We start from the raw sequence: 27,126 nt of genomic DNA, 5'->3' as shown, positions 1-27,126 counted from the left end.
GCTAGTGGCATGGTTTTCCTGGGAAAGTCCTCCTGAGTAAAAGAGGAGAGACACCTGGTGAAGACTGGGACTCTGGGGGCAGGCTGCTTGCTGCATAGGCAAAGGGAGATTTAATGAAGATGAGTTAATATGGGACTAAAATAAGTGTATTGATCTGGGGGAAATCCTGAAGTCTGCTGTGAGGTGGACAGTTGTGGTAAGTGGGAAATGCTTTGGGGAAAACCCTTAACTTCCCCAAATGCCTATGTAAATGCCTACAACATGGAAAATTAACAGGAAGAGCTTGCCATCTCAGCAGACACTATCACTTAAATTGGAAATATTGAGCTGCAACTGAGGAGAGGCAGTGAAAATAAGAATTACAATTGCCTTTAGGTTCAAAAGCCTACAATTATCTGATACACAGAAAAGAGAAAGTGAATAATGTGTGGAGAACATCTGAATGAAAACAAAACCTTTGTGGAAAAAGTGAATCTGATAAACATTATGAAAATATGTTCAAGAACCTATGACAAGTAGATGGATGAAATAGTTTCTGATTAAATAGGCCAAACAACTTTAGGAGAAGGTCCAGGAAAAGGAGTATGGATAATGGTAAGAAGTTTCAAAATGGGTATATGCTATCCAAAGCGGTTTTGTGTGAGTTGGTGAAATTTCCATCATATTACAGGTGGATAAGTTGGGAACATGGTATGTGATTATGGGTCCAAATGTCCATATTAATTAGAGATGCCTACAGATATGTTTATGGGTAATATGAGCTTGGCTTAAAACAACAAAGAAAAACAGTGGTTGAAAGATAAAACCAGATTGGTAGTAGTTTCAATAATTATTGAAGCTGAGTGATAGCTATAAGGGGATTCCTTATGTAATTATCTCTATGTATCTATTTGAAAATTTCAGAGATAAAGTATTTTTAGGAAAGAAAGAAAAATGACAAGGAGACCCTTATTAGATACTAATGATATTTTGAGGTAATATTTGCAATGAATATGAAAGAAGAGTTACATTTCCTAATATATAAAGAGCTCTTGCAAATTAATAAAAAGAAATCCTCAATAAGCAATGGGTGAAGAACATAATTATACAATTTATAAAAAAAATACAAAAGACCACTGAATGCAAAATAACGTTCAACTTTAGTAGAAGTTAAAAACTAAAAATTGAAATAAACTGTTAGATGAAGCCTCAATTAGACAAGAGAAATAAGGGTGTTTTCTGAGATCTATTGTACAGTGTGGTGAATATAATTAGTGATAGTGTATTGTACCTTTTCAGAATCACTAAGAGTAAACATTGTCACCACAAAAAAATGAAAAGTATTTGAGGTAATAGATATGTTAATTAGCTTGATTTAATTTTTCTAAATCATATTTATAAATCATTTTATATTTATAAATCATAAACTTTTAAATAAATTTATTAAATCATAATCTCACTTTGTACCCCATAAATATATACAACTGTAATTTGTAAATTTACAATGAAAAGATTGTCTTTAGGTCATGGAGATTGGGGTCTGGTGGTGGGATTCCTAGGACAGATCAGAGGGAAGTCAGCATTGCATATCAATATCAATAGAATTCAAACTATAGAAGGCGTGAGGCCTTTTACTTCATAACCTCAAGAAATACATGCACAGATAACTAATTGTATATGAAAATACATGTATTTAACATTTAACATATGTGTGTTTAACATTCACTAGAATGAGGTTCATAGAAGGAAGAATTGAAAACTGAATGCTCATCCCAAATGAAATAGTATTTGATATATTCCCACAAATGAATATTTTGGAGCTATCAGTAGATGACTTATGTCTATTTTCTAAGATGAAAAGATATCCACTATGCATAGTAGACTGAAAATGAAAATTGCAGGATTGTTTTAAGCATTTTACATATCTCTCATACATAGACCTGAAGGCTATTCACTAAACTATTAACGTTGCCAGCAGGTAAGAGGTTCTTGAGTGATTTATATTTTCTTCTTAATAATTTTCTATATTCCCTGACTGAGCTACATTATCACTTATTACTAATTGTATTATAGGTGTATTAGTCAGTTCTCATGCTGCTAATAAAGATATAACCAAGACTGGGTAATTTATAAAGGAAAGAGGTTTATTTCACTCACAATTCAGCATGGCTGGGGAGGCCTCAGGAAACTTACAATCATGGCAGAAGGGGAAGCAAACAAGTCCGATTTCACATAGCAGCAGGAGAGAGAAGAATGAGCAAACGGGGAAAAGCCAAACCATCAGATATTGTAAGAACTCACTCACTATCATGAGAACAACATGAGGGTAATCACCCCCATAATTAAATTATCTCCCGCCGGGTCCCTCTCACAACATGTGGGGATTATGGGAACTGCAATTCAAGATGAGATTTGGGCAGGGCGGGGCAGGGGGGCGGGCACAGCCAAACTGTATCAACAGGTCTCCAGAGAACAGAACCAATAGAATACATATAGGTGTGGATACTGACATAGATCTATAGAGATTTATTATGAGGTAATTTGTTCACATGATTATGGAGACTGAGAAGTCCTATGATCTGCCATCTGCATGCTGGGGGCTGAGAAAACCTGGTGGTGTAGATTCTATTCCAAGCCTGAAGGCCTGAGAACCAGGAGCACGTCAATATCCGAGGGCAGGAGAGGATGGATGTCCAAGCTTAAGCACCAGTGGGCAGGGCAGGGGATGGGGGGATTGTGGGGAGAGAGAGAGAGAGAGAGAGATGACATATAACATTAATCATTGCAGTAATACTTAATATTATCAATAAGCCTACGTACATTATGAAAATGTAGTTGAGATAACTCACTTGACTTGCTTCATAGAATTAAAAAAGTGTTAATAAGAACTTAAATTTGGTCAAAATTATGTTGGAAACTAATAATTGATTCATTTTTGAAGGGAAAGGAAAATACATAATAAGCAAAGGCTGTTTAGAAAATTGAATTAAATCTAAGAGATAACTGAGTCCAAAAATGTTAGATGCAATTTTAATAGCCATTAACTTTACTGGGAAATTGAAAGACTGGGCTTACTGTAAAACAGTAACTACAAGTCAGACTTATACAAAGTTTAGAAAAACTCATAAATATGATTCCAAAAGCATTTATGATGAAACTATCCTATATCTTGAACCCCAAGCTATAACACATAACTGTGGAGGTCAAATTAAGTTGAAAAAGAAAAATAATGTACATTTGCAGCCAATAAGCCAAATTAAATACTCTCCAAGAACACAGGGTGAAGGTGAGAAACATTACAACATTCTCTCTGCCCCGTATAGAACAAAAGCTTAAAACATGGATTAATTCTACCTTTAGACAATGTAAACACCGATTTCTGAAATAAAATGAACTAGTAAAACTAATTTAAATCATGCCTTTGAAGCATTTATTGTCTCTTTTATTGTGGTAAAATACACATAACATAAAGCTTACCGTCATAACCTTTTTAAAGTATACAATTCAGTGGCATTAAGTACATTCACAATGTTGTGCAACCATCACCACTATTTCCAGAACTTGTTCATTCCAATGCCCATTAAGCAGTCACTCCCATTTTCTGCTGCCCTCAGCCCCTGGCAGCAACTAGTCTGTTTTCTGTCTCTATTAATTTGCCTGTTCTGGATATTTTATACAAATGGGGGCATATACTTTTTGGCCTTTTGTCTGTGGCTTCCTTTATTTAGTATAAGTTTTTGAAATTAACCTATATTGTAGCATGTATCAGTATTCCATTCTGTTTTATAGTGGAGCAATTTCCGCTATATGAATATATCACATTTGGTTTACCCATTCGTCTGTTGATGAATATTTAGGTTGGTTCTACCTTTTGGCTACTGTGAACAGAGCTGTTATAAACATTCATGTACAAGTTTTTGCTCAAACACCTGTTTTGAATTCTTTTGGGTATATACCTAGGAGTGGAATTGCAGGACCACATTGTAATTCATTTTAATTCCTTCCAGCAATATATGAATATTCTGATTTCTCCACATCCTTACCAACACCCATTATTTTCTTTTTTTTTTTGAATTATAACCATTCTAGTGACTGTAAAGTGGTTTTAATTTGCATTTTCCTAATAACTAATGTCATGGAGGATCTTTTAATGTGCTTATTGGCCACTTGTATATCTTGGGAGAAATGATAGGCAAGTCTTTTGCCCATTTTTAAATTGGATTGTCATTTTGTTGTTGAGTTGTAAGTGTTCTTTAATATATTCTGGATATTTTATATCTTCTGAATATGTACTTGGCTTTATACATTCTAGTATAGAGAATCATATCAGATATGTGGTTTGCAAAAGCTTTCTCCAATTCTGTGGGCTGTCTTTTCACTCTCTTGATAGTGGCATCAATGCACTACAGGTTTTAATTTTGATGAAGTTCAGTTTATCTTTTTTTTTTATTTTGTTGAGTGTGCTTTCCGTGTCATATTTTAATGTCATTTTAACTGCATTTTGAAGTAGTCAAATGTTTTGATAAGAGTAACCTCAGTATGTTTTATAATCTACGACTATTTCCTTAAATATTTTCCCCAAAATATTTCAAATTAAAATGTCTGTTTTCAGATTTGTTGTTGTTAAAAAAATGCATGTGCTTAATCTGTTTAGTGAAAATGGAGCTTTAGGGTAAAATTAGGAAAGTGCAGATATTTTATGGTTTTTGTTTTCTTAAAAAAATTGTGACCTAAAACCTAAAAGCCTTCATGTGGGGAAATGAAATGTATACTAGAATTGGAAAGAAAGTGACCAAAAATTATCTGTGAAGGATGAGTTTGTTCATTGCAGTTGGCCCAATGGCTTACATTCTATTATACCCAAGGAATTGGAAGATGTTATTTGCTGAGCCATTACTTCTTCATTGAAGAGAGGAAATAAAAAAATAGTCACCAACTTTAAAAAGAGATTCTGGATGATTCTAAAAATGATAAGGTGGTTTCAATTCATAAGCTATAAGATAAGTAATCAACTGGATTGCTAGTGACAAACCAAATATTTAAATTAATTTTGGTTTTCATTTTGTAAAATAAGGACAAAATTTTAGTTTTGGAGAAAATTGATCTAAAATAAAAGCCAACAAGGAAGGGTTACAACGATTTCATGAGAAACAAGGTTATAGCATTTGCTGTAAGAAACCTCATTACCAGTAGAATAAACAGCATGGAAGTACAGATACCTCACCCAAGAAAATATGCAGGTGACAAATTAGCACATGAAAGGTACTGAATATCATATGCCATTAAGAAGTTGTAAATTAAAACAATGAAATAATACTACACACCTACTAGAATGATGAAAATCCAAAGTACTGACAACACCAAAGGTTGACGAAATGTGGAGCAATAGGATGTCTCACTCATTGCTGGGGAGAATGCAAAATGGTCCAGCCACTGTGGAATTCAGCTGACAGTTTCTTACAAACTGAAACATACTCTTACCAAACACAGTTCAGTAATCACTCACTTGATATTTACCCAAATGAACTGAAAACTGGTGTCCACACAAAAACATGTAGTAAGTATTTCTAGCAGCTTTATTTTTAATTGTCCAAACTTGGGGGCAAGCAGATGTCTTTCAGTAGGTGAATAGGTGAATAAACCGTGGTACATCCAGACAATGGAGTATTACTTGGCGCTAACAATAAATGATCTATCAAGCCATGAAAATAAATGAAGGAATCTTAAAGGTATATTATTAAGTTAAAAAAGACGGTCTGAAAAGGCTGCATACTCTATGATTTCCACTCTATGATATTCTGGAAAAGGCAAAATTACGGAGACAGCACAGAGATCAGTGGTTGCCAGGTGTTGGGGGGCAGCAAGGAAGGATGAATTAGGAGAGCACAGAGGATTTTTAGGGCAGTGGAACGATGTGTATGATACAATAATGGTGGATATATGTCATTATATATTTGTCGTAATGGATAGAATTTACAACGTCAAGCATGAACCCTAATACAAGCTTTGGACTTTGGGTGATAATGACATGTCAGTGCAGGCTCATCAATTGTAACAAATGTGTGCCTTCTGCTCAAATTTGCTGTAAACCTAAAACTGCTCTAAAAAATAAAGCCAGCTGGGCACAGTGACTCATACCTGTAATCCCAGCACTTTGGGAGGCTAAGGCAGGCAGATCACTTGAACTCAGAAGTTTGCAACCATCCTGGGCAACATGGCAAAACCCCATCTGTACAAAACACAAATACTGAGCCCAGCAGAAGGTCGAGCTGTGATCATGCCACTACATTCCAGCCTGGGCAACAGAGTGAGACCCTGTCTCAAAAAAAATCTGTGAAGGCTGGGTGCAGTGGCTCACTCTTATAATTACAGCACTTTGGGAGGCCGAGGCAGGCAGATCATGAGGTCAGGAGTTAGAGACCAGCCTGGTCAACATGGTGAAATCCCATCTCTACTAAAAATACAAAAAATAGCTGGCATGGTGGCATGTGCCCAGCTACTTGGGAGGCTGAAGCAGGAGAATCGCTTGAACCTGGGAGGCGGAGATTGGAGTGAGCCAAGATTGTGCCACTGCACTCCAGCCTAGATGACAGAGCAAGACTCCATCTCAAAAAGAAAAAAAAGATCTATTAAAAATTATGTATGTGATAGTTTGTCCTGGAAGGCCAAAGGTAGATAATTCTAGAAAATTAGGAAGCAAGGCTGCTAACCGGTTGACACATGCCAATCATTAATGGAGGGCGGCTTCCCAGGGGCTTTAATGTTCTGGGACTTCCATCCAGTGGCCAGTGTGTGTGAGAGAGAAAGAGAGGCACAAAGGGCCAGTGAGATCCCAGAGGACAGGAGTAGTGCTCCTATGTCACCCTGCTATCTTACTGCTTCCCAGTTACCCAGAAGTCTAACAGGGTTCCATTTGTGCACTTTGAAGTCTGATTCTGACCAGAGAAATTTCTTCCTCCCTATCTGGTTATTGGTGCTTGATAATCCTCTAAGTAACAGACTTCCCCAATTAGAGATCAGAAGCTTAAAACTAAAAAAGAGCCAAATAATACAGTCTAGTAGACCCTGATAACAGATCTCAAGTTGGGAAGCCCTGAAACTGAGTTGGTGCATTTAAAGGGTGGTGGGGGGTGCGTTTCCCTGAGGAGAGGATCCATATCTTTTATCAAGATGTCAGGGCAGGTCTGTGATGCACCGAGCCAACTTCTCTTTTCTCCTGCCAAAAATGGTTAAGAACCACTGGGCTAAAGTTGATGAAGCATATTCACACTGCAGTGTAATCCATCAATAAGAGCAAATGGCTAGTGGGAGTGACTTCCCTTTTGATTTGGGGCGATGCCAGAAGAGCACTGCTGCCTGAGTGGAGGGAAAGGGCACACAAAGAGGAGGCAAAGAAGGATTTCCCTGAAGACCATGACACTGAGAACTTTTAGCCTTGGGTCAAGCTCATTTGCTTCTTGAGTGAAGCCCAGTCCCAGGTCCGTGTTGGTCCAGGAGGTTTGGTCCAGGAGGTTGCACTCATTTGTGTGCGGCACCATATCACAGGATGCATGACCCCTGTGCTCACTGGGATTGTTACACTTGCTACTGAACACCCTCCTTCCCTCCCTCCCCTCCCCTCCTTCCTCCCTCCTTCCTTCCTTCTTTCCTTCTTTCCTTCCTCCATCCCTCCTTCCTTCGCTTTCCTTTCAGTCCCTTCCTGTTTTCTTTCAGACTTTTAATCCCTAAATGTTTCCCTCCATTCATCATTTCTTCATCCATCCACTGTCAACTGTTTATAGCGACATGCCAAATCCTGGGCTGGGCCCCAAGCCTACAAGAGGCTACAATATGCTGCTTTCATTCAAGAACACCAGTATTTACTGAGGAAGACAGAAATGAGATCAAATTCCACTCAGGGTGATAAATGCTATGCAGAGGAGGAGATGTATGCTAGTCAGGGGCTTCTTTATAAATCATTTGGTGAATTAAGAGATTATTGAAATGTGGACATCATTATGGCTTTGTATTCTACCTGTCTTCTATCCTCCAAGTAATAATTCAGTTCTTTATTTCATCTTTACAAAGATGATACAGAGTGCTTGGGCTTTGTGACTTCCTTCTGACAAGTGACAGATGGAGGCTGGCTGTCCAAACTGACTGGCTCATGCTTTCCTGTGGCCAGCAGCATAGTGGGAATGGGTTTAGTACTGGGGACAAACCTGTGCAGGGGACCCACCTACTACTAACTGATCCCTGCGTGAACTAACCCATGGCCCATTAACACACTGATCTGTTCAGCGGACAGGATGTGGGCTACCATTGACCACACCCAGGGAGGGCTCAGGCCCCCTCAAAAGTTTCTCACACATTGAGGCTTAATCCTAGCCAAAGTAAAGAGTGCCAAGGAAGAATATAAGTGCTCATGTAATCTCTCCTCCAAGGTTCTAGAGCTGCCATTTTCTTATACAGGGTAGGACGGACAAAGCTTATTAACTACTTTAAGTCTGTGAAAGTTCTTAGCCAGTCTCTGTAATGGATAGGTTTTGGAAGTCTACATAGGTCTCACTAAAAAAGTGGGCAGGTATCTCTATCTCACCCTGTAGCCCCCCACCTTCTTGGCATTGTTTATTGGACCTGGGGCAGCCCCCTAACTCCAAATGGGTCAGTTAGATTTTCACCCCCAGGAATTTGGCATTGGCACCTAACATGCTGATTGATAGCCAAGGAAGGCTGTGAAACAGAGGTTTGGGCTTTCATATGTGTTCATATGTATAACACAACAGGCACATGCCTTTGCAGAGTTATAGGAATGAGAGGCCCTAGAGAGGAAGAGAGAAGACTCTGTTAAGGCCTGCTGGAGGCAGGAGAGGGGCCGAGGTTCCTGCTGAGCTCACTGGGACTTTCTTGTTTCTCCTTCTAACTTCTGAAAGGCCTCGGGTGCCTCTCTGCCCCTGGACACCATGGGACTCACCTCATTCTGGAAAGAAACATAGAAAATAAAACCAAACGCAAATTTTTACTTTAGGTAGCTGAATGGGTCTCCGTTACTCTCCTCCTGACTAATTATCCAAAGTGCAAATGGTTAAACTGTGAGTTATTGTTGCTATTGCTGACCTTCACGGCTGAATTTCTTTAGGCAGTCCTTTATAAAAAGACGATTATGACCATAATGGCAGAGGAATGGTATCTTCAAGTCCATCTATTTGGCTCTATGACCCTAGCACATAATAACGCCCTCTGGAGAGAATGAGGAACTAGATGAAAATGGAACAGGCTTGCCCCCAGGAAAATTGACATAAGTGTCTGAAACAACTGGCCAGTGGAAAGGAACCAGCCGTCAGGGGAAGCAGGAATGCCCCCGTGGTGAGGATTTTCAGAAATGTGATCGTCATTTGCTTGTTTGGGATAGCTGGAAGCATTCCAAAAACGAGGTGACCTTTGGCTGTTCCTCTTCTCGGGGCCCTTGCGTCTGCACTGCGAGCTCCATGGCTGTCTTTTGTGCTGAGTGGCTGGGTTCCTGCATCCCAGGACTTTGTCTGGCCAGCTTTGTGGGTATGTTGCCTACTTCTGGGATCTATTTTTACTATACCTTTTACCACTGGACATTTGAAAAGCCCTCATGCCTCCATCTCCTGGATTCTGGTACTGTAGCTGGCTCCTTGTAGTGCTATGAAGGCGGTGTGAGAAATAAATGATTCAGAGAAAATTCAGAGTGAAACCAAATAGGAAGCTGGAAAAAGTGAAATTTTACAATGTATTTCCCTGTCCTTCACTTGTCTCTATTTTCCTGGCCAGGATTCATCCTCAGAGACTATTTTTACCCTGTTCCTGACCCAGCGAAACCTTGAGGTTCTGCAAATCTTACCAGATTTAGATTCCATTTGTGTTTTCTCTATAACCTCTTATTTCTGGGAAAGAGAGGCCATCAGAAGAGACTGCGTTTAGCTTGTACTCATTTCTCTCCTCTCATGCTGTGTGGGCCTCGGTCTCTTTTTCGGGAGATTGCATGGAGAGCCTCAAACAACCTCACCAGAGAATAAAAGTTTTGGCCAGGCGCGGTGGCTCATGCCAGTAATCCCAGCACTTTAGAAGGCCGAGGAGGCAGGCTGATCATGAGGTCAGGAGATGGAAACCATCCTGGCTAACATGGTGAAACCTTGTCTCTAGTAAAAATACAAAAAATTAGCCGGGCGTGGTGGCGGGCACCTTTAGTCCCAGCTACTCGGAGGCTGAGGCAGGAGAATGGGGTGAACCCTGGAGGCGGAGCTTGCAGTGAGCCGAGATCGTGCCACTACACTCCAGTCTGGGCGATAGAGCGAGACTCTGTCTCAAAAAAAAAAAAAAAAAAAAAAAAAAGAAAAAGAAAAAGGAAAGAAAAGTTTTACAAGCCGAAGAAACCAAGGACAATGAAACCTCTTCTCCCAAGGAATTTGGGAGCAGAGCATGCCACGCTTTCTCTGTTCTGGAAGGCCCTATCCTTGGGGACTTCAGAGGTGCACAAGACGGAAGCTCAGAGTAAACTGTATCTTCTACTGCAGCTTCCAGGAGTAGTCTGGGAACTGCCAGCCCTGCCCCTAAGCAGATGTGCACGTCTGCTGCTGTCCTCGGGAGGGGGAGGCCGGAGTGGCAAACTCCCAGAGTGCTGAAGAAAAGACGTGTCCCACGCAGAATTTTCCCACAATCAGCACACGGGACAAGGAGAAACCAAGAGGCCAAGCTTGAGCCTGGCGGAAATCACAAGATCTGGGCTGCAGCTGTGGGAGGGTGGCTGGTGCTCTTGCCCGTCTGCGTTTCTTACATCTGGAATATTCCAAGTGCTCAAGCCAGTTAGCAGAGGAGTTTCAGACAGGCTTGAGGGGAAGGGGAGAAGAAAGGTCTGTTCTAAGGAAAATAATTCTCTTGCTTCCACTTCACAGATATGGTCTGTTGAAAATTCTCTCCCTCTCTCTTCTTTTTCACTCAACATCAGAGCAGAACATGCTGCCTTGTCTGAACTGAGAATGAGACCTGGGGTCTATTTCTGGTTCTGCCAACTGACTCCTGGGTGACCTCAGTCACTTCCTCTCTTAGAGCCTCAAAGTTCCCCTCTCTAAAAAGAACCTTAGAATATTCTTACAACCAGAAATAGAGCCCAAAAACATAGAATATGTAATAGACACAACTCTTAATTTCTACAGTCTAATCCCACATGGACTGGATTCAGTGATGGGCAGATATGGTACAAGAATATTCCCTGGTCATCTTCATCCTGGCAAAGACGTAGTCAAGTATAGCAGTTTTCTCCTCTGACTTTCTCTGATTTCACCAAAGCCTGAGGATAAACTCCTTCTAGTTACATCCAAAGCTGGTGATGGGAGATCCTGGGAGGAGAGAGGTGGGGCTGTGCCAATATAGAAATGAATTTCAGCTTCAGGAAAACTACCATCTGGATGAAATCGAAGGCACTGGCCAGTCTTTGTTGAGTTGCAGCTGTGGCAATAGGCATATAAGTCAGGATTAGGAGGAAAAGGTCTGAAGCGGAGATGTTCTCAGGTCTCAACATGATTTGGATTGAGGTAAAAATATTTATTAACTTTTCATATTAAGTATGCATGTTAACACTTCTATGGTGACCACTAAAAAACAGGAATAAGGTAGATAACTTCCAAACCGGTAGTGAAGAAAACCCCTAAATCCAAAAGGAAGCGAGAGTAAAAAAATAAAAAGCAGTACAAATAGAAAACATAAAGTAAAAGAAATAAATTAGAATACGTCCTTACTTGAAAGAAATTTCAGTAGGCCAAATTCTGTAGTTGAGATTGAACTAGATTTGCAGTGGATTTTAAACACAAAGCAAGCTATGTACCTTTTACAATAGACATATAATACAAGTTATCAGAAGGATTAAAAGTGAAACTGTGGGTAAATATATCATAGCCAAATAGAGACCAAAATAACAAACAAAAACAAACAAAAAACCAACAACAAAGAAACAAATAAAAACAGGTGCAGCTTTATTCCTATTAAACAAAAGAGACTCTAAGGTAAAGGATATTATGAAAAAAATAAGAGAATCATTACAACCTGATCAGAAAAATATAATTATTCCAAGCTTTTAAACTAAGAAATCGCCTCATAATATAGAAACAGAAAAGGACACACAAGTCTAGATGGAAATATAGGTAAATGTACTATCATACACTTAAATAGATATACCATGTTCATAGATCAAAAAACTTGATATTTTAAAGATGTTATTTTTTTCAAATTGATTTAGAAATTCAATACAATCCCAATCAAACATCCTCTTCTTAAAGAGCTTGATAAGATAATTTTAATATGTATGTCAGGAGCTCCAAGAGTTAAGGATAGCTAAGAAAATCCTAAAAAATGTGGGGCCATATGCCTTAACAGCCAACAAGAAATATTATGAATAACAGTGATTAAAATGGTCTGGTATTGAAATTAAACAGATCAATGGAACAGAAGAGAGCCTAGAAACACACTCATACCTATGTGGTATGACTAGTTTGTTATCCACACAGGAAAAAAATGAAAATTAAATCTTTTCTCAGTCCATTTCTCTAAAATAAAATTATCACAGATAAAATTGTGAACTACCAAACATTTGCTTTAGAAAAAAATCTACCCTCCAACTCAGATTTTTAAAATTGATAATAAAAATAATAGCAAAATGGACAAAAGGCTTGAATAGACACTTACAAAAAAGAAACATAAATGACTTATTTTAATTTTTTTAAATTTTACTTTAAGTTCTGGGATACATGAGCAGAACGTGCAGGTTTGTTACATAGGTATACATGTGCCATGGGTGGCTTGCTGCACCCATCAACCCATCATCTAGGTTTTAAGCCCCACATGCATTAGGTATTTGTCCTAATGCTCTCCCTCCCCCTGCCCCCTAACCCCCAATCGGCTCTGGTGTGTGACGTTCCCCTCCTTGTGTCCATGTGTTCTCATTTTTCAACTCCCACTTATGAGTGAGAACATGCGGTGTCTGGTTTTTCTGCTTCTGTGTTAGTTTGCTGAGAATGATGGCTTTCAGCTTCATCCATGTCCCTGCAAAGGACATGAACTCATTCTTTTTAATGGCTGCATAGTATTCCATGGTGTATATAGGTCACATTTTCTTTATCCAGTCCACCATTGATGGGCATCTAGGTTGATTCCATGTCTTTGCTATGGTAAGTAGTGCTGCAATAAACATACATGTGAATGTGTCTTTACAGTAGAATGATTTATAATCCTTTGGGTATACACCCAGTAATGGGATTGCTGGGTCAAATGATATTTCTGGTTCTAGATCCTTGAGGAATCACCACACTATCTTCCACAGTGATTGAACTAATTTACACTGCCACCAACAATGTAAAAGCGTTCTTATTTCTCCACAGCCTCACCAGCATCTGTTGTTTCCTGACTTTTTAATAATCACCATTCTAACTGGCGTGAGTTGGTATCTCATGGTGGTTTTGATTTGCATTTCTCTAATAACCAGTGATGATGAGCTTTTTTTCATATGTTTGTTGGCCACATAAATGTCTTCTTTTGAGAAGTGTCTGTTCATAACCTTTGCCCACTTTTTGATGGGTTGTTTGTTTTTTTTCTTGTAAATTGGTTTAAGTTCCTTGTAGATTCTGGATATTAGACCTTTGTCAGATGGGTAGCTTGCAAAAATTTTCTCCTGTTCTCTGGTTTGTCTGTTCTTTCTAATGATAGTTTATTTTGCTGTGCAGAAGCTCTGTGATTTGATTAGGTTCCATTCGTCAATTTTGGCTTTTGTTGCAATTGCTTTTGGTGTTTTAGTCATGAAGTCTTGCCTATGCCTGTGTCCTGAATGGTATTGCCTGTGTTTTCTTCTAGGGTTTTTATGGTTTTGGGCTTTACATTTAAGTCTTTAATCCATCTTGAGTAAATTTTTGTATAAGGTGTAAGGAAGGGGTCTAGGAGAAACATAAATGACTTACAAGCACATAAAAAGATGCTTAATCTCATTCATAATTAGAGAAATGCAAATTAAAACTGTATTAGAATATTATCAAATTAGCAAAAATTGAAGTATTTAAGAATATTATTTCTAGTAGCACCCTTTGTAATAACAAAAGATTTAAGAAACCAGAAGGTCCACTGGGAAGTGAATATTTTTAAAAATTGTGATGTATGCTTGTATTGGGAGGCCACAAAGCAGGTGAAGTGAGCTGACTCTACGCTACACATCAATACAGATGAATGTCAGGAACTTAGTCTTCAGTGGAAAAAGCAAATCACAAAAGAATATAAAAGTTATACTTCCATTCCTATAAATCCAAAGACATATATTATTTAATAGATGTTGGAAAATAACAATAATTTTCTGAAGAACATAAGGAAATAAACCTAAGATTCAGGATAATGATTTTTTCTGAGTAGGTACAGAAGAGAATAAGATTAGAGACATCCCCAGGACTTCAGAGTAAGGATGATGAGTATTTTCTCAAGTGCTAAGTTCATGACTGTTGCATGACTAATCATTATACTTTATGTATATTTTATATTATTGTGTCTACTCAGTAGTTAAAAAAAATTATAATCTCATGAACAATTTTGAACTTCAAACATACAATTCTATATCATTATTTTTAAAATGCATAGTGTTACATTGAATGGATACATCTTTTTTATTTAATTATTTCCCTATTGATGTAAATTTAAGAGTTTTCTTCCTCAATTTTTGGCTATTCTCATGCAACACAATTTTGAGGCATCTTAATAATTAAAAAAAATAAAACAAAGAAAGTGTCTTTGTTTAACAAAACAAGAAACCCATGTGAAGATTTGATGCCAAGGACATTGGTGTGGTCAAAGATTAGCCCAGAAAGGAGACAGCTAAACTAATGTGCAAGAGAAAAGGAAAGGTTGGGAATCAGACGGCAGAGGGTGAGATGGGAGAGGGGTGAGTATTCATTCTGTGAGGCTGATTCTTCTTCTGGAATACAGGTTGGTTCCAAAACACCAAAGACTTTCTGTGTGCCCCTTAATCCCCCATAGTAGTGGGTCCTTCAGTTTTGCTAAAACTTCTGTTACTACCCAGTCGCTGCCCAGATGCAAATTTCTCTTACATGGAATTCTGTTATAAGCAAATTTAGTATGTTTTCTTTTTTCCCTGCAAAACTCAGGAGCTGCGTTTTCTGTATGGTTATTGAACATAATTAGATAATGCGGGAGCCAAGGATTGGATGTACAAAGGGATGAGAAGGGAAAGGAAGAGGAAGTGTAAAGTTCTTTTTCAGTCCATCTCTGCCAGGAGGGCCAGGGTGAGTTGATTGGAGTATATATAGACCCTCCTGCCCCTGTGATGCTTAATGAACATTTGTTGATTGTTTAATTTGTTGACCGTCCAATAAGGAAAGAATTTATTTGATTGAGAACTGTTAAGAAATGAGTTTCTTTATTAGCGATAGCTCTTGTTATTTTTTTGATGTGTCTTTGAAAAGATGGCCCAAGATGACATTTAAATAGAGATGTTGCCATATGTAACGGGTCACATAAACCACAAGCACAATATCCCAGTAATTTAATAACAGTTTAGGAATAAGATTTCCATTAGACATGCCTGAAATTAGAGCGTACTATTTTACTGCTTTCTATCAAGGAGACCTCTAAATTCCCAATTTAAAATGGATACATTTCTAGCACGAGAATTAGTTAAAGTGGGTATCTGAGTAAGAGGATAAATTGGGTTGGAGACTTAGCCATTGTCGTGGTGTGCAAATCTGATAGCTCCTAAGGTTATTAAAAATTCTGGGCTAATGTTCTGGAAAGAATGAATTTGCTATTACAGAAATATTCCTGCATCATGGTACCTCTGCGGTTGAAGAATCTTCTCTAAATTTAGCATATGTTCTAGGAAAGAGATTAATCGAATTAATAGGAAGTATTTATTAGAGAAGAAATAAATAGATTTTTGCCAATTAATGAGATCAATCAGCTCAACCACTAAAGAAGGTCAGGAGCTCTGCCAGAGGTGTGGTGTTTTAAGATATGGAGTCTGATGGGCAATATTCCAGGGGAGGTGGGGCCCATTCGTGAGCTGTATAAATTTAGAAGCACAGAGTAAATGAAGTGTAAAAGAGAGTAATTGAGCCATTGTAAAATCAGACTAGAAAAACATATCATCTCTTGCCTCACCTTCCCTTCCTCTTTTTTTTCTTTCTCTTCTCCCAATCACTTTACTTACATAATCTTCCATAGTGACTATTAAAGCAGGTTTACATGTAGTGGTAGTAGCTGCTAGGTATTAACATTTGACACCATTTGTCACTATCTGGACAGCAACAATGTACTTTTTTCCTGTCTAAAACTTTTTTTTTTTTTAGTTTTAGACAGAAAATACTAAAATAAAGTTTTCTGTTTAGACATTCTGAAAATTTTGAATCTTCTACTGCATTTTGTAAAAATTTCAGTCTTACAAGGTGACATTAAACAAGTAAGATTCTCCTTTCCCCAACATCACTACTAGTTTTTTCACAAGTTATTATTTCTTTTTATTTCTGGACTTTATTGGAATTGAGTAATGACACATTTTTCCTTGTATTTCAACAAGTGTATTGCATTCACTTTATTAGTTTCCTGCTAATATGTTACATCAAAGGCAAAGGAAGTTTGCCCAAGATAGTCTTCAACTAATTTTCCAATGTCAATATATTTTTATTCTGTGATTATTGATTAACTTGTCAATGATAATGACAAGAGGATAATTATGGATTATACCACATGGATTATACCAATTATGGATTATGGATTATATCATAATTATGGATAATTACCGTAATTATGATAATCTTGATTCCTGGAGCATAAACTGTTTGAACCAGAAAGAGCCTCAGATCTTACCTGGTCACATCACTGTGGTCTGAACAGCCTCTGTGTCTGCGTGTTCAGCAGAAGCTGTTAGCGGCAGCTTTCCAGGTGCCACAGGTACGCTGGGGACACTTGAGGAAGGAGTGTTGCCTGATCCGGCTTCACAGTAAATCTCCATCCAGGAAGGCGTGACCTGGGCTATAGAAGTGAGAGTATTTGCTACTCACCAAATTTGTGCTAGACACTGTGTGAATAGTTATTCATGCATCACTGAGTTCTCATCATGCTTCTACGAGGGAGATATCATTATCCCCATTTTGCAGATGGGTAAAACTGAGGCTCAGAACAGCTGGTAGTTTGTGAAGCTAAGACTTGAAATCCCACGTCTGGTATGAATTTACTTTTCCTTTTCCATTATAAGCTCTCCCCTCAACCCCACAGCCCAGTGGAAGGTACTACAACTGTCTCCCTGTTTGAATATCTGGTAATAGGGATGGGTTCTTACTGAAACAGACACCTCCAGTCCTGCTGCTGTGCCTGACATTTGCTGCTTCTCTACCTGGGATAAGGCACTGGAGTTAGAAGCATGGAGTCCACGGTGAGATTGCCTGTGTTTGAATCCTGGCTCTTCCTCTTACTTGCTGTGTGTCCCTAGGCAAATTATTTAGCTTCTCTGTGTCTCAATTTTCTCATCTGTAAAATCGGGATAGTAACAGTACCCTTCATAAGATTGCTTAGAGAATTGAATTATTTCATATTTTAAAGTACACAGAGATATGCCTGGTACACAGGCCTAAGGCAGTGTAAAGTGATGATTAAATAGGTGTGTAGAGTAATTAGAATGATACCTGGCACATGTCAAGCACTTAATTAAATAGGTTGTTCTGTAAGAACTTAATGGGTTTATTCTGCACAGCTGTTCTTTTTTTCTCTGTTTCTTCAGACAAATGTTTAAACTTTGCTCTGCAGGATGAGAAGAGTAAGTTTCAGAAATCCCTTTCAGGACCCCATCGTCCTTCCAAGATGGAGCTGCTTAGATCTCCTCCCTATCCTTGCTGTACATGCCCAAGATTTTGTGAACATGATGTGTGCGATTTCAAGAGCAGGATCTGGAGCTTCCTTCTGGTATCTAGACTCATGATAGATGCTCAATACATGTTGACTGGATGAACAAACAAAGATAGGGTCCCTATTCCAGGATGGTAGCTAATTCTGTCCTTGGCACTCACAGGCTGCCACTTGGGCCCATTTGTGGCAGAATCGGCAGGAGGGGCCCATGGGTTGATCTCATCACTGTGGCCCCACACGGTGAAGAGGGCTGCCGTTCCTCAGTGTCCACGGGGTTTGTGGCCAGAGGAGAACTCCTGCCTTGCTGCTGAGGGGATAGCTGCAATGGTGACTGATCTTCCTGCCCACTTCCTCCTGAGCAAGCTGCATTGAAGACACGACCCATTCCCACTCTAACGGATGGAGTTAGTCAAGAGCGGAGAGCAGAGAGGGCTGGACTAAATGTCCCTTTCCTTCCTACCTGCTGGTGAAGTACTGTGTTGAATACAATGAAATCCTAGAAGTATATAGAAATAGCAGAAAATTTAATCCAAAGCTAATTCTGCTTCACCTTTTTAAAAATTTGGAAATCCTGTAATATATTTCTGTAATAAATTAAATAGCACAGACAGTGACTTTCAGGCAAAATTCTGCAAAGAAACCTGCTTTCCTGGTCTCCTTATTCTTCTTAAAATAATAGAGAAAAGCTTGATTTAAAAAAATATGTCTAAAAAGTTGTCATTAAGTATGACATCAGGGCACTCCATGCAGACTGAGTTTCTGGTGATGGTCTACCGATTTGGATTGCAATAGATGACTGTAACTCAGGGGTTCTTATGATTATGTGTATAAAAATAACTAGTTAATTGCTCAATGTGTCTGACATTAGCCTTCACTCCCCCTCTGCTGGTGAAGCTCTCAGCTGAGTGCAGTGGAGGGACTGCTGTTGGTCCTATTTTTTGTCATTGTCTGGAATTCTCAGGTCTTCATCATTGTTGAGTCCCTTTGGAGCACCCCTGTTCCTGCTCCACACCTTGTCCATGACAAAGGGGCTGTTTCTTGACTGGAGTTTTTCACCCCAACTGAAAAGATTCTCAGCCTCTCTCTGCAACTGATTGACACTTATATCTTAAGGACAGTCACCCACCCCTGTGTTTAAATCTGTTTGGTTGCCACTGAATGTAAGGGAGAGTCTTTCCTCTAGCTTAGTCTTTCTAGAATATTCTGTATTGTTACCTGGACATGAGTTTTCTCCCTCCAATCTGAAGACTACTCTGGATTTAGTGTGAGGGAAACCAGACTTGTCTAGAGTATAGACAACAAATTCTCCCCCATTGTGAATGTGGTTCTCTCTCCCACATTGTCTGTGTCCAGCTGGTGAAGACTCCAGCTCTCCCAACCCACAGCTGCACACATTTGAGGTTTTACTGTTTAACCATTTCACATCCACAAGCTATACTGGTGCAGTTTAGACCACGCCTAACTAAATAAATGAAAGGAGAGATTTTGAGTAGCACCCAAAGACCTGTTCCATGGTGCATGGTTAGGAACAGGGATACAGATCTCTCCTGAGTAAAGTAACTTATTTAGACACAGTTCTAAATAATTAGAACCAACTTCTAAAATAATTCAGGGTTTACAGGCACAAAGGCTAGTCATTTAAACACACTGCACCCATTCTCAGAAGTGGATTCTGAACAAGTCTGTAGCTCAGGACAGTTCACAGAAAGGGCTCCTTAGTAGCACAGGCAGCACAATGGAAATGCTTCTCTTACTTAACTCAGAGTTCATTTTTAGCACACCCAGACGGCCCAACTCGTTATACATTTATTACTCTGTAATGCACTTGGCAACACACACGATGCCCATAGCTGTCCATACCAGGGAGCTCACACTGCTTCAATCAGACCTGTCTCATCCCCTCAGCAGCCCCATTAAGTCAAAGAGTAAATTATTAATAATGCTGACTAAAATCAAAGCTCCAAATGATGCAAATAAAATTAACCAACATGAACTGGAGAAACAGAAGTATATAAGAGAGCAGAGAGAAGCCTGTTACCCTCCCCTCCCAGAATGTGTCTTAAAAGTTATCATTAGGTATTGCAATGTGGTATCCAATGAGGAGTGAATTACTAAAAAAGCGTACTTATTTAAGAAGGGAGCCCAGGAAATTTGTTAAATTACTATGTAGTAAATAGCATGAGCAGACCATGATATTCAGGCAAAGTAGAGTATTCTGTAAAGAATACTGCTTTCTTGGTCTTCCTACTGCTGTTATAATAACAAAGGAAAGCTCGATCCAAAAGCTTTTCAATTTGGTCAAATAAAACCAAGGAGTCCTGACTTAGAGAATCTCTTTCCAAAGATGAATGGTAGATGTGAGATTCCTTGGGAGCCTGCGTCCTACAGCAGCCTGGGAAATCCCTGCTCTCCAGCAGTAGCAGGTGCTCACGGTCATTTCCGGGAGAACACAGGGCATGGCAGGAAGGGGGGTCATCAGGAAGCTTCCCAGCACCTCTTAATGATGAGACCACTGCCTGACTTTGGAGGTCAGCCTTTTGCCTGGTTCAGACTTCTAGGAGGCTTTGTACCATGAAGAGCTCAAAACCAATGTTGAGTTTTAGTGCCTTCTCACTAGGTGAGAATGAAGAAGTGTCTTCTAGAGGCAACACTCACCAGTTGTTATAGGATTCCATCTGCTGGGCCAGCAGGGGTCCCAAGCTGGGCCAGTTGGGCCCTTCCCTGGACTTTACTGGGTGCTTCTGGAAGAGGGCTCATCATTGCCTTGAGTGATGGAGCTGCAGAACTTCAGGCCTGAGCTGTCCTGTTCTCTTCAGCAGGGCAAAATTTAGGCCAATGGAAAAAATAATAGTCTGAGCTCCTGGAGTTAGGAGAGAAAAAGAGAGGAAGGCAGTTTTCCCCTCTTAGGCCTCCTCCACCCTCGTCACTCTTCATCTTGGCCTTCGAATCTGTGAACTACCCAAATGTCTTTTAAATAAATCATCAAGTGTTGTTCATGCTGATTTGAATTGAGATTCTGTATCTGGCAACTGAGGCCACCTTAAAAATGTGATAAAAGAAAAAAATAGAAAACACACAAAAACAAAATAGATAAATAAATCTAAGACGTGAGTATTTGAAGAAATAAATGACATGGACAAATCCTGGAAATGAATATAGAAGTAAAGAGAAGTAAAGTGTATATCAGAAGGTTTTTATGATTCCAAAATTTTGGGCCAATATACGAAATCTTAAAGGAAACAACAGATATGAAACATAAAAATAAGAGACTTCTACCAAACAAGTATAATATACCTAATAGAAATAAAATTCAAAAAAAACCAAACAGAAATGGTTTAAGTATGACAGAAAATTAATAGGTATTCTCACTGAAAAATGGCAAGAAAAAAACCAGCACTCCAATAGAAAGTTGATCATAATTAATGAACAGAGAGTTCACACAAATTGATTAAACATATTAAGTTTGAAAGCTAAAAAACAAAACAAAATGCAGGTACAAATTAATACCACCTTTTAACCAAATAATACAAGAGGAGTGATAATGGTAGATTTATGCTGCTGTTGGTAAATTCATAGTTTTTTTTTTGTTTGTTTTTTTGGTGGCAGGATATATTGACATTACTCTTTTGGAAAACAATTAAAAATTCTCAGCAAGGTTGCTAAAAATCTGAATATCCCTGGTCCAGTTAGTCCTATTCTTTGCAGCATATCATAAAATATAAATTAAAAGATATTATAAGAACTTAAGAAATATGTTGGGAGGCTTTTGGTCACCAAGAATGGAAATTGAATTTAAATAAACTTAGGCGAAAAAGGACTCTAATTTTCCAAATAACTGTGAAGGCCAGGGTACAAATAGCCTTGTAGCTTTGGGTGAGACTTCAGACAGCTGCTGTGGTCTGTCCCTCTGTGTTACTTTCCTATTGATGCATAACAAATTATCATGAAATTAGTGGCTTCAAACAATTCCCAGTTATCACCTCACAATTCTGTGGGTAGAAGGCTGGTTACAACGTGACTGGGCTTTCTGCTTAGGGTCTCCTGAGGCTGAAATTGAGATGCTCACTGGGCTGAGTCCTCAATCCGGAAGCTCTGGGAAAGAACCGCCTTCTCAGATCATTCAGGTTATTGGAAGATTCAGTTCCTCTGAGTTGTAAGGCTGGGCCCTGTTTCCTCATTGGCTCTCAGCAGGGACTGCTGTCAGCTCACACTGCTGCCCATGTTCCTTGCCAGGTGGTCCCCTCCATGTTCAAAGCCAGCCACAGAGAATCTCCCTCACGTCTTATCTCTCTCATGCTTTGAGCATCTCACTTCCCATCTCTGACCACTAGAGACGGATGAAAAGGGCTCTTGTTCAACAAGATGATATCTCTCTTGATTAACTCAAAGTCAACTGATTACTGACCTTAATTCCATCTGCAAAACCCCATTTGCCATGAACTGTAATATAAGCACAGGAGTGGTTATCTCAACACATTCAACAGGTTCTGCTCACACCCAAGGGGAGGAGACTATACAAGGGTGAGGGTCACTGGGGCTGTCTGAGAATTCTGCCCACCACAGTCTCCATAGCCCACTCTGCCATGCTCTTTAGATTGACTGTTTTTCCATAGAATGAGCACAATGCAAGCTCTAGGCTCGCATTGGGGTGCATCAATCACCCAGTCCACAGAGTTATCCTGGTAAGGACTTTGAGATGCTTTCCTGTGCCATGTGGTCAAGAAGAGGTAAAATTAAGAGTTAACCTCACTACTTTATGAAAATGCAAATTGAACATCGATATATAATTTAATGTCTATGACATGAGTAAAAATTTTTTAATTAAAAAACCTGAAACTTGTCTAAATGATATGGGAAATGTATCAGCTCCAATTTTAAAAGCTGAGAGCAGATGCCAGGGGCAGGATCCAGTGAATGGATCGGCAGTGAAATGAATGGCTCAGTTTCTCTCTACTTTTGTGGTCTGCCTTCTGCAGTGCCGGCCTGGTGGACTGCACTTGGTGGACCTTGGATCATCTCAGCCCTCACATCCAGACCTTGTATTCTCATGCCCTACCATTCAGAGAAAAGGATGATGTTTGCCCTTGAAGGTCTCCCACAAGACAAACTTCTTTTTCTCCAAGGCCCTAGCAAATATCCTTGCCTCTGATTGGATCCTAACCCTGTACAGGCCAAGGTAGTGTGATACCAGGATGGGTGTCAGCCCTCATGGCCACTCCTAAGCTGGTGGAGGAGTCAGTACCAATCATATCTCAGCTCAGAGATTTCTGAAAGAAATTCCAGCAGAGGTGAAGGCTGAAGAGTACATGAGGGATGCCCAGTAGAGGAAACCAGCATGTGCAGGACAGAAAAAAGTTACACAGTTTTATGTAGAGCCTAACAGGGGAGGATTGCAAGCATCTTAAGGCAGTGAGACTCCTGGGATGGAATGCCAGGCAGTGCAGACTGCCCTTCTGGGGACACACATCTCACACAGACAAATCCTGCTCTGGTCTGGTCTCCTTCAAACCTTGCCTGTCCCCTGTAAAGTATGCGCTCTTGCCCTTTCCCGCATTTCAAATGAGGAAAGAAGGCTGGTCCCTCTCTGGTACCCAGCAGTAGTGCTCATGGCAGCTGCTTGTTCATGGCTCCTGAGTCTCCCTGCACCTGCTATGTGTGTTTGCACAGCTCTAAACCACACTTGCCCCATGGAACAGCCCTCCTAACTGTCTTTCCAGTAGGTGGGAATTTCACTTCCTTATTTCCAGGCATAAATTATTGCAGATGCAAAATTGCGACCTTGTTTTAGACACAAGTGTTAAAAATATAGCTCTTAGATATTCAACAATACTTTTTATCCTCTCCTTTGAGCAGGAGGTGGCCTGAACTCAACTTGTTGGCCAATGAGGCCCTTGGCTTAGCAGAGCATGAATTTTGAGAGAGAGGTGGAAGGAGGTCAGTCTCTGGAGCACGTCATGAAGGTGGCATTTTGCTGCTGTTCCTCCTTTCATCCTATTCCTTAAGAATAACTACAATCTAAGATACTAGGCCCTATGGGGCACTGGAAGGGCCAATTGCCCACCATCCATCTTGCAAGGTAGTGGACACATAGGGTTACCTGGCACACCTCTGCCAGACAGGGCTGCTACATAATTTGTAGGGCCCAGTGCAAACTGAAATTAGGGGGTCCCTTGCTCAAATGGCAGGAAAAACATTTCTTCCTTCTTTCTGGGTCTCTCTCTTGTCATGGTGTTTTTTACTTGCTATTTAATGTCACATCCCTTGGACACAGGAATACTCATGGGGAGATTGCAGACACTCACAGGTACCCAGGGCCCTGTTCACAACTGTGTAGGCCCAACCATTCCCATGCACAGGCTCAGGTCCCCTCCCAGCAGATGGCAGTGGTTGCTGGGGGTTGCTTGGGCAGGTAGCTGAGAACCCATCCCTGGGAGGGGGAGGCACCTGGAAGGGAGCCCCACATGAGCAGAGTCTCCGAGTCCCCAATGCATGCTCCATTGCTTCGTCAGACTTTACGGACAAAACACAAATTCAAGGTAAATTTATTCACAGTTTCAAGACTGCAACCACAGAGCATTAACTGTAAAACCCTGAGAGACTGCACTGCTCGCAGGCCCATGAAGCTGCTCCTGTCACCAGGCTTAGTGGGTGGCTAGGGAAAAGAAAACAACCAAAAACACAGTGACTTGGATTTATCAACATTTGTAGGTTCATATGTTTGGTCTTTATGAGTTATGTGATCTTGAAAAAGTGGTGTAACCTCTCTGAACCTCAGTTTCCTCATCTGTGCATTGTGGCTAATCACTGCCCATGTAACAGGGCATTGTGAGGATGGAGAAGTCACAGAGTGCAGAGGCCTCATAAACTGGAGGGCACTGCCTTGGGAGGGGTTCCTACCCTGGGCAATTGATTGATTGGCTCTGGAGTTGCAGCTGCAAAGGCATGCTGGCCTCTCCAGTCTTGCAGTCAGGAAGGCTGAATGTGGTCAGCTGAGGTGCTCACTGCAGCCTCAGGCAGGCCTAAAGGTGTCAGCTGCAGAGTCTACTGCTGGCCTTGGCTGGCTACCTCTGATCTAGCATATTCCTTCTTTAACTGTTCTGCAACCAGGTAGGCCTCAGCTAGGCAAACCAGAGTCTTCTTGACTTCAAGCTGAGGAGCATCTTCTGAGTGCCTCCTGCAGCCAGACTCTTTGCTGAGCTCCAGGGATGGGGGATAGACATTGCTCTGTCCCCCAGGGGCTCAGACCACAAGCTACAGCAGTGAAATGCAGGGGCCTCGGGAGCCAGAGGAAAGTCCTGAAGAAGCTCGAGGGGAAAGTGTGCATTTCAGGCCCTGGGCTGAGTCTAAAATAAGGGAGTAGGCAGGTGAGAGAGGGAAGAGGGGCTCTGGATGGAAAGAGAGACTGCAGGGGCACAGGAGTAGGGGAGAAGCAACTCTCAATCGTGGTTCCAACTAGGTGGGCTTTTCTTCCTCATTCCATAGTGAAGCATCCTGGGTTCTGATATGACAGGTGGCAGCTAAAAACATCTTGGTTTTGCTTAGAGCTCGTTGTTGTGTGGTGGGAAGGTGTTCATAACAAGAAACAGCCTCCTCCTTTCTACACACCAGCTGAGCTAGAACTCTATCATGCAGCAGTGGGGCATTGCTACCAGAATGGCTGCTCTTGAGGGAAGGGGAAGACTGAAGATCAAACCATGCATGGTTCACAGTAATTGGTGCTCCTTCCCAGTTCCAGTTGAGCAATGTAAAAGAAGGTGACTAACAAGACATTAAACTGTGTGCATGTTTCAAAGCACACCCAGGACAGAGGCTCTCGGAACCCACAGGAGCCTGTGGTTTCTGAAATATGGGTGGGTGGCTTCCTGCAGCTGCAAGGCATGCTGGGGAGGGGAGATGAGATAGGCCGCGGCCCCGCCTCACCCCCTCTTCCCGAGTGGTTTGGCGCGGGTGTGCCCAGCCTGCTGCTCCTGGCCAGGCAGTTAGAGTGGAGGGAAACCTCCCGTTACCAGGAAAGCAAATAATGGGCAGATCAAATAAATCCATGTGGCTAAAATGCAAAAACAGATAGAAATCTATCTCAGGCCAGTGCCTGTGGGAGCAATGGGAAGAGATTCATTTTATTTTGCATATGTAGACAGTGATTTTAATGTTATGTAAATGCAGCCAGCGATTCCTAATTGCTCCTGAAATGCACGTGTCAGGGGCTCTGTTGCAGCACAGGTTGCTAATGATAGAAATAAGCTGTGTTTTTTACAAGGAAGGCTCGCGATTACCAGCTTTTGATTTTTCTTTTTTTTTTAAATTACAAATTTTAATTAGGACAAGCCAAGGCAATGAAGGTGGAGGGGCAGGACTGCAGAAGTGCCTGGGGTAGAGACAGCTCAGAAGAGTCACCTGGGCATGGAGAAGGGGTGCCACAGGTGGCCTTGCGGCTCTGGGTCAGCCTGAGAACAGACACTCCTGATTTCAAAGTGTAAAGTGTCATTCACCCCCTCTGAAGCACTTATCCAAGCTGACATACTGGGAAGTCAGGGTGGGAGGCAATAGTCTCTGGTTTCTCCAGGAAGATGAGCTGTGATGATCTTTCCCGGCAAAAAGCCGAGACTCTCAAGAGCAAAGTAGCATTGCACAGGGGCAAAGAATGACAGGAAAGTCACAAGTGTTGGGTGATGCAGACCACACACTTGGGGCAGGAAGAAGAGTTGGTGGAGCCCACCAGAAGGGAGGAGGTGAAGACCAGTAAAGGCAGTACAGCCCTGCCCCCTACCCCTCCTGCCCTGTGCTCCAGCACAAGCCCAGCTCTGTGACCCTCTTAACATAACACCCTCTCTGAACAGAGCAAGAGCCTCTCCCTCAGGCTGCAGGTACAGTGCCTGTCTGCTAGGCGAGACCCACCACCTTCAGAGATGCCACTTACCCAGGACACCCTAGGCTGTAGTGATGGCCTTTTCATCAAGATTATCCAATCTTTATCCCAGGACTAAGCCAGACCTCCAGAAATGTACATACCTGGACCCAATTCTCTGCCTCTCAAGACGACGCCACAAAGCTTTTCAGACTTAGATTTTCCACTAAGGATTGTTGAAAGAAACAGCCACATGGAATAATTGTTATTGTGGCCATTTTTTTAAAAAAACCAGGGATGTTATTGATAATTTTGCATCCTATGCATATATACCTTTCTAAAGCACGGGGCCAAGGAATGTGATTTTTCCTGAAAAGCAGCAAGATCCACTGTGACCAGACTGTGAATTGTGC

The 27,126-nt window shown here is 40.8% G+C and overlaps 4 annotated features.

Moving 5' to 3' along the window:
- Positions 10,475-10,764: an enhancer, noted in NCBI's record as "active region_25996". NCBI's record gives its function as "activates an Ori minimal core promoter by ATAC-STARR-seq in GM12878 lymphoblastoid cells {active_cell/tissue: GM12878}" and the evidence as "EXISTENCE:reporter gene assay evidence [ECO:0000049][PMID:35858748]".
- Positions 16,870-16,939: a silencer, noted in NCBI's record as "silent region_18180". NCBI's record gives its function as "represses an Ori minimal core promoter by ATAC-STARR-seq in GM12878 lymphoblastoid cells {active_cell/tissue: GM12878}" and the evidence as "EXISTENCE:reporter gene assay evidence [ECO:0000049][PMID:35858748]".
- Positions 22,219-22,278: an enhancer, noted in NCBI's record as "active region_25995". NCBI's record gives its function as "activates an Ori minimal core promoter by ATAC-STARR-seq in GM12878 lymphoblastoid cells {active_cell/tissue: GM12878}" and the evidence as "EXISTENCE:reporter gene assay evidence [ECO:0000049][PMID:35858748]".
- Positions 25,585-25,684: an enhancer, noted in NCBI's record as "active region_25994". NCBI's record gives its function as "activates an Ori minimal core promoter by ATAC-STARR-seq in GM12878 lymphoblastoid cells {active_cell/tissue: GM12878}" and the evidence as "EXISTENCE:reporter gene assay evidence [ECO:0000049][PMID:35858748]".

This window comes from Homo sapiens, chromosome 7, assembly GCF_000001405.40.
Source record: "Homo sapiens chromosome 7, GRCh38.p14 Primary Assembly".
NCBI lineage: Eukaryota > Metazoa > Chordata > Mammalia > Primates > Hominidae > Homo > Homo sapiens.
The sequence above is the reverse complement of the archived record's forward strand: the minus strand, read 5'-3'. Positions and strand labels throughout refer to the sequence as shown.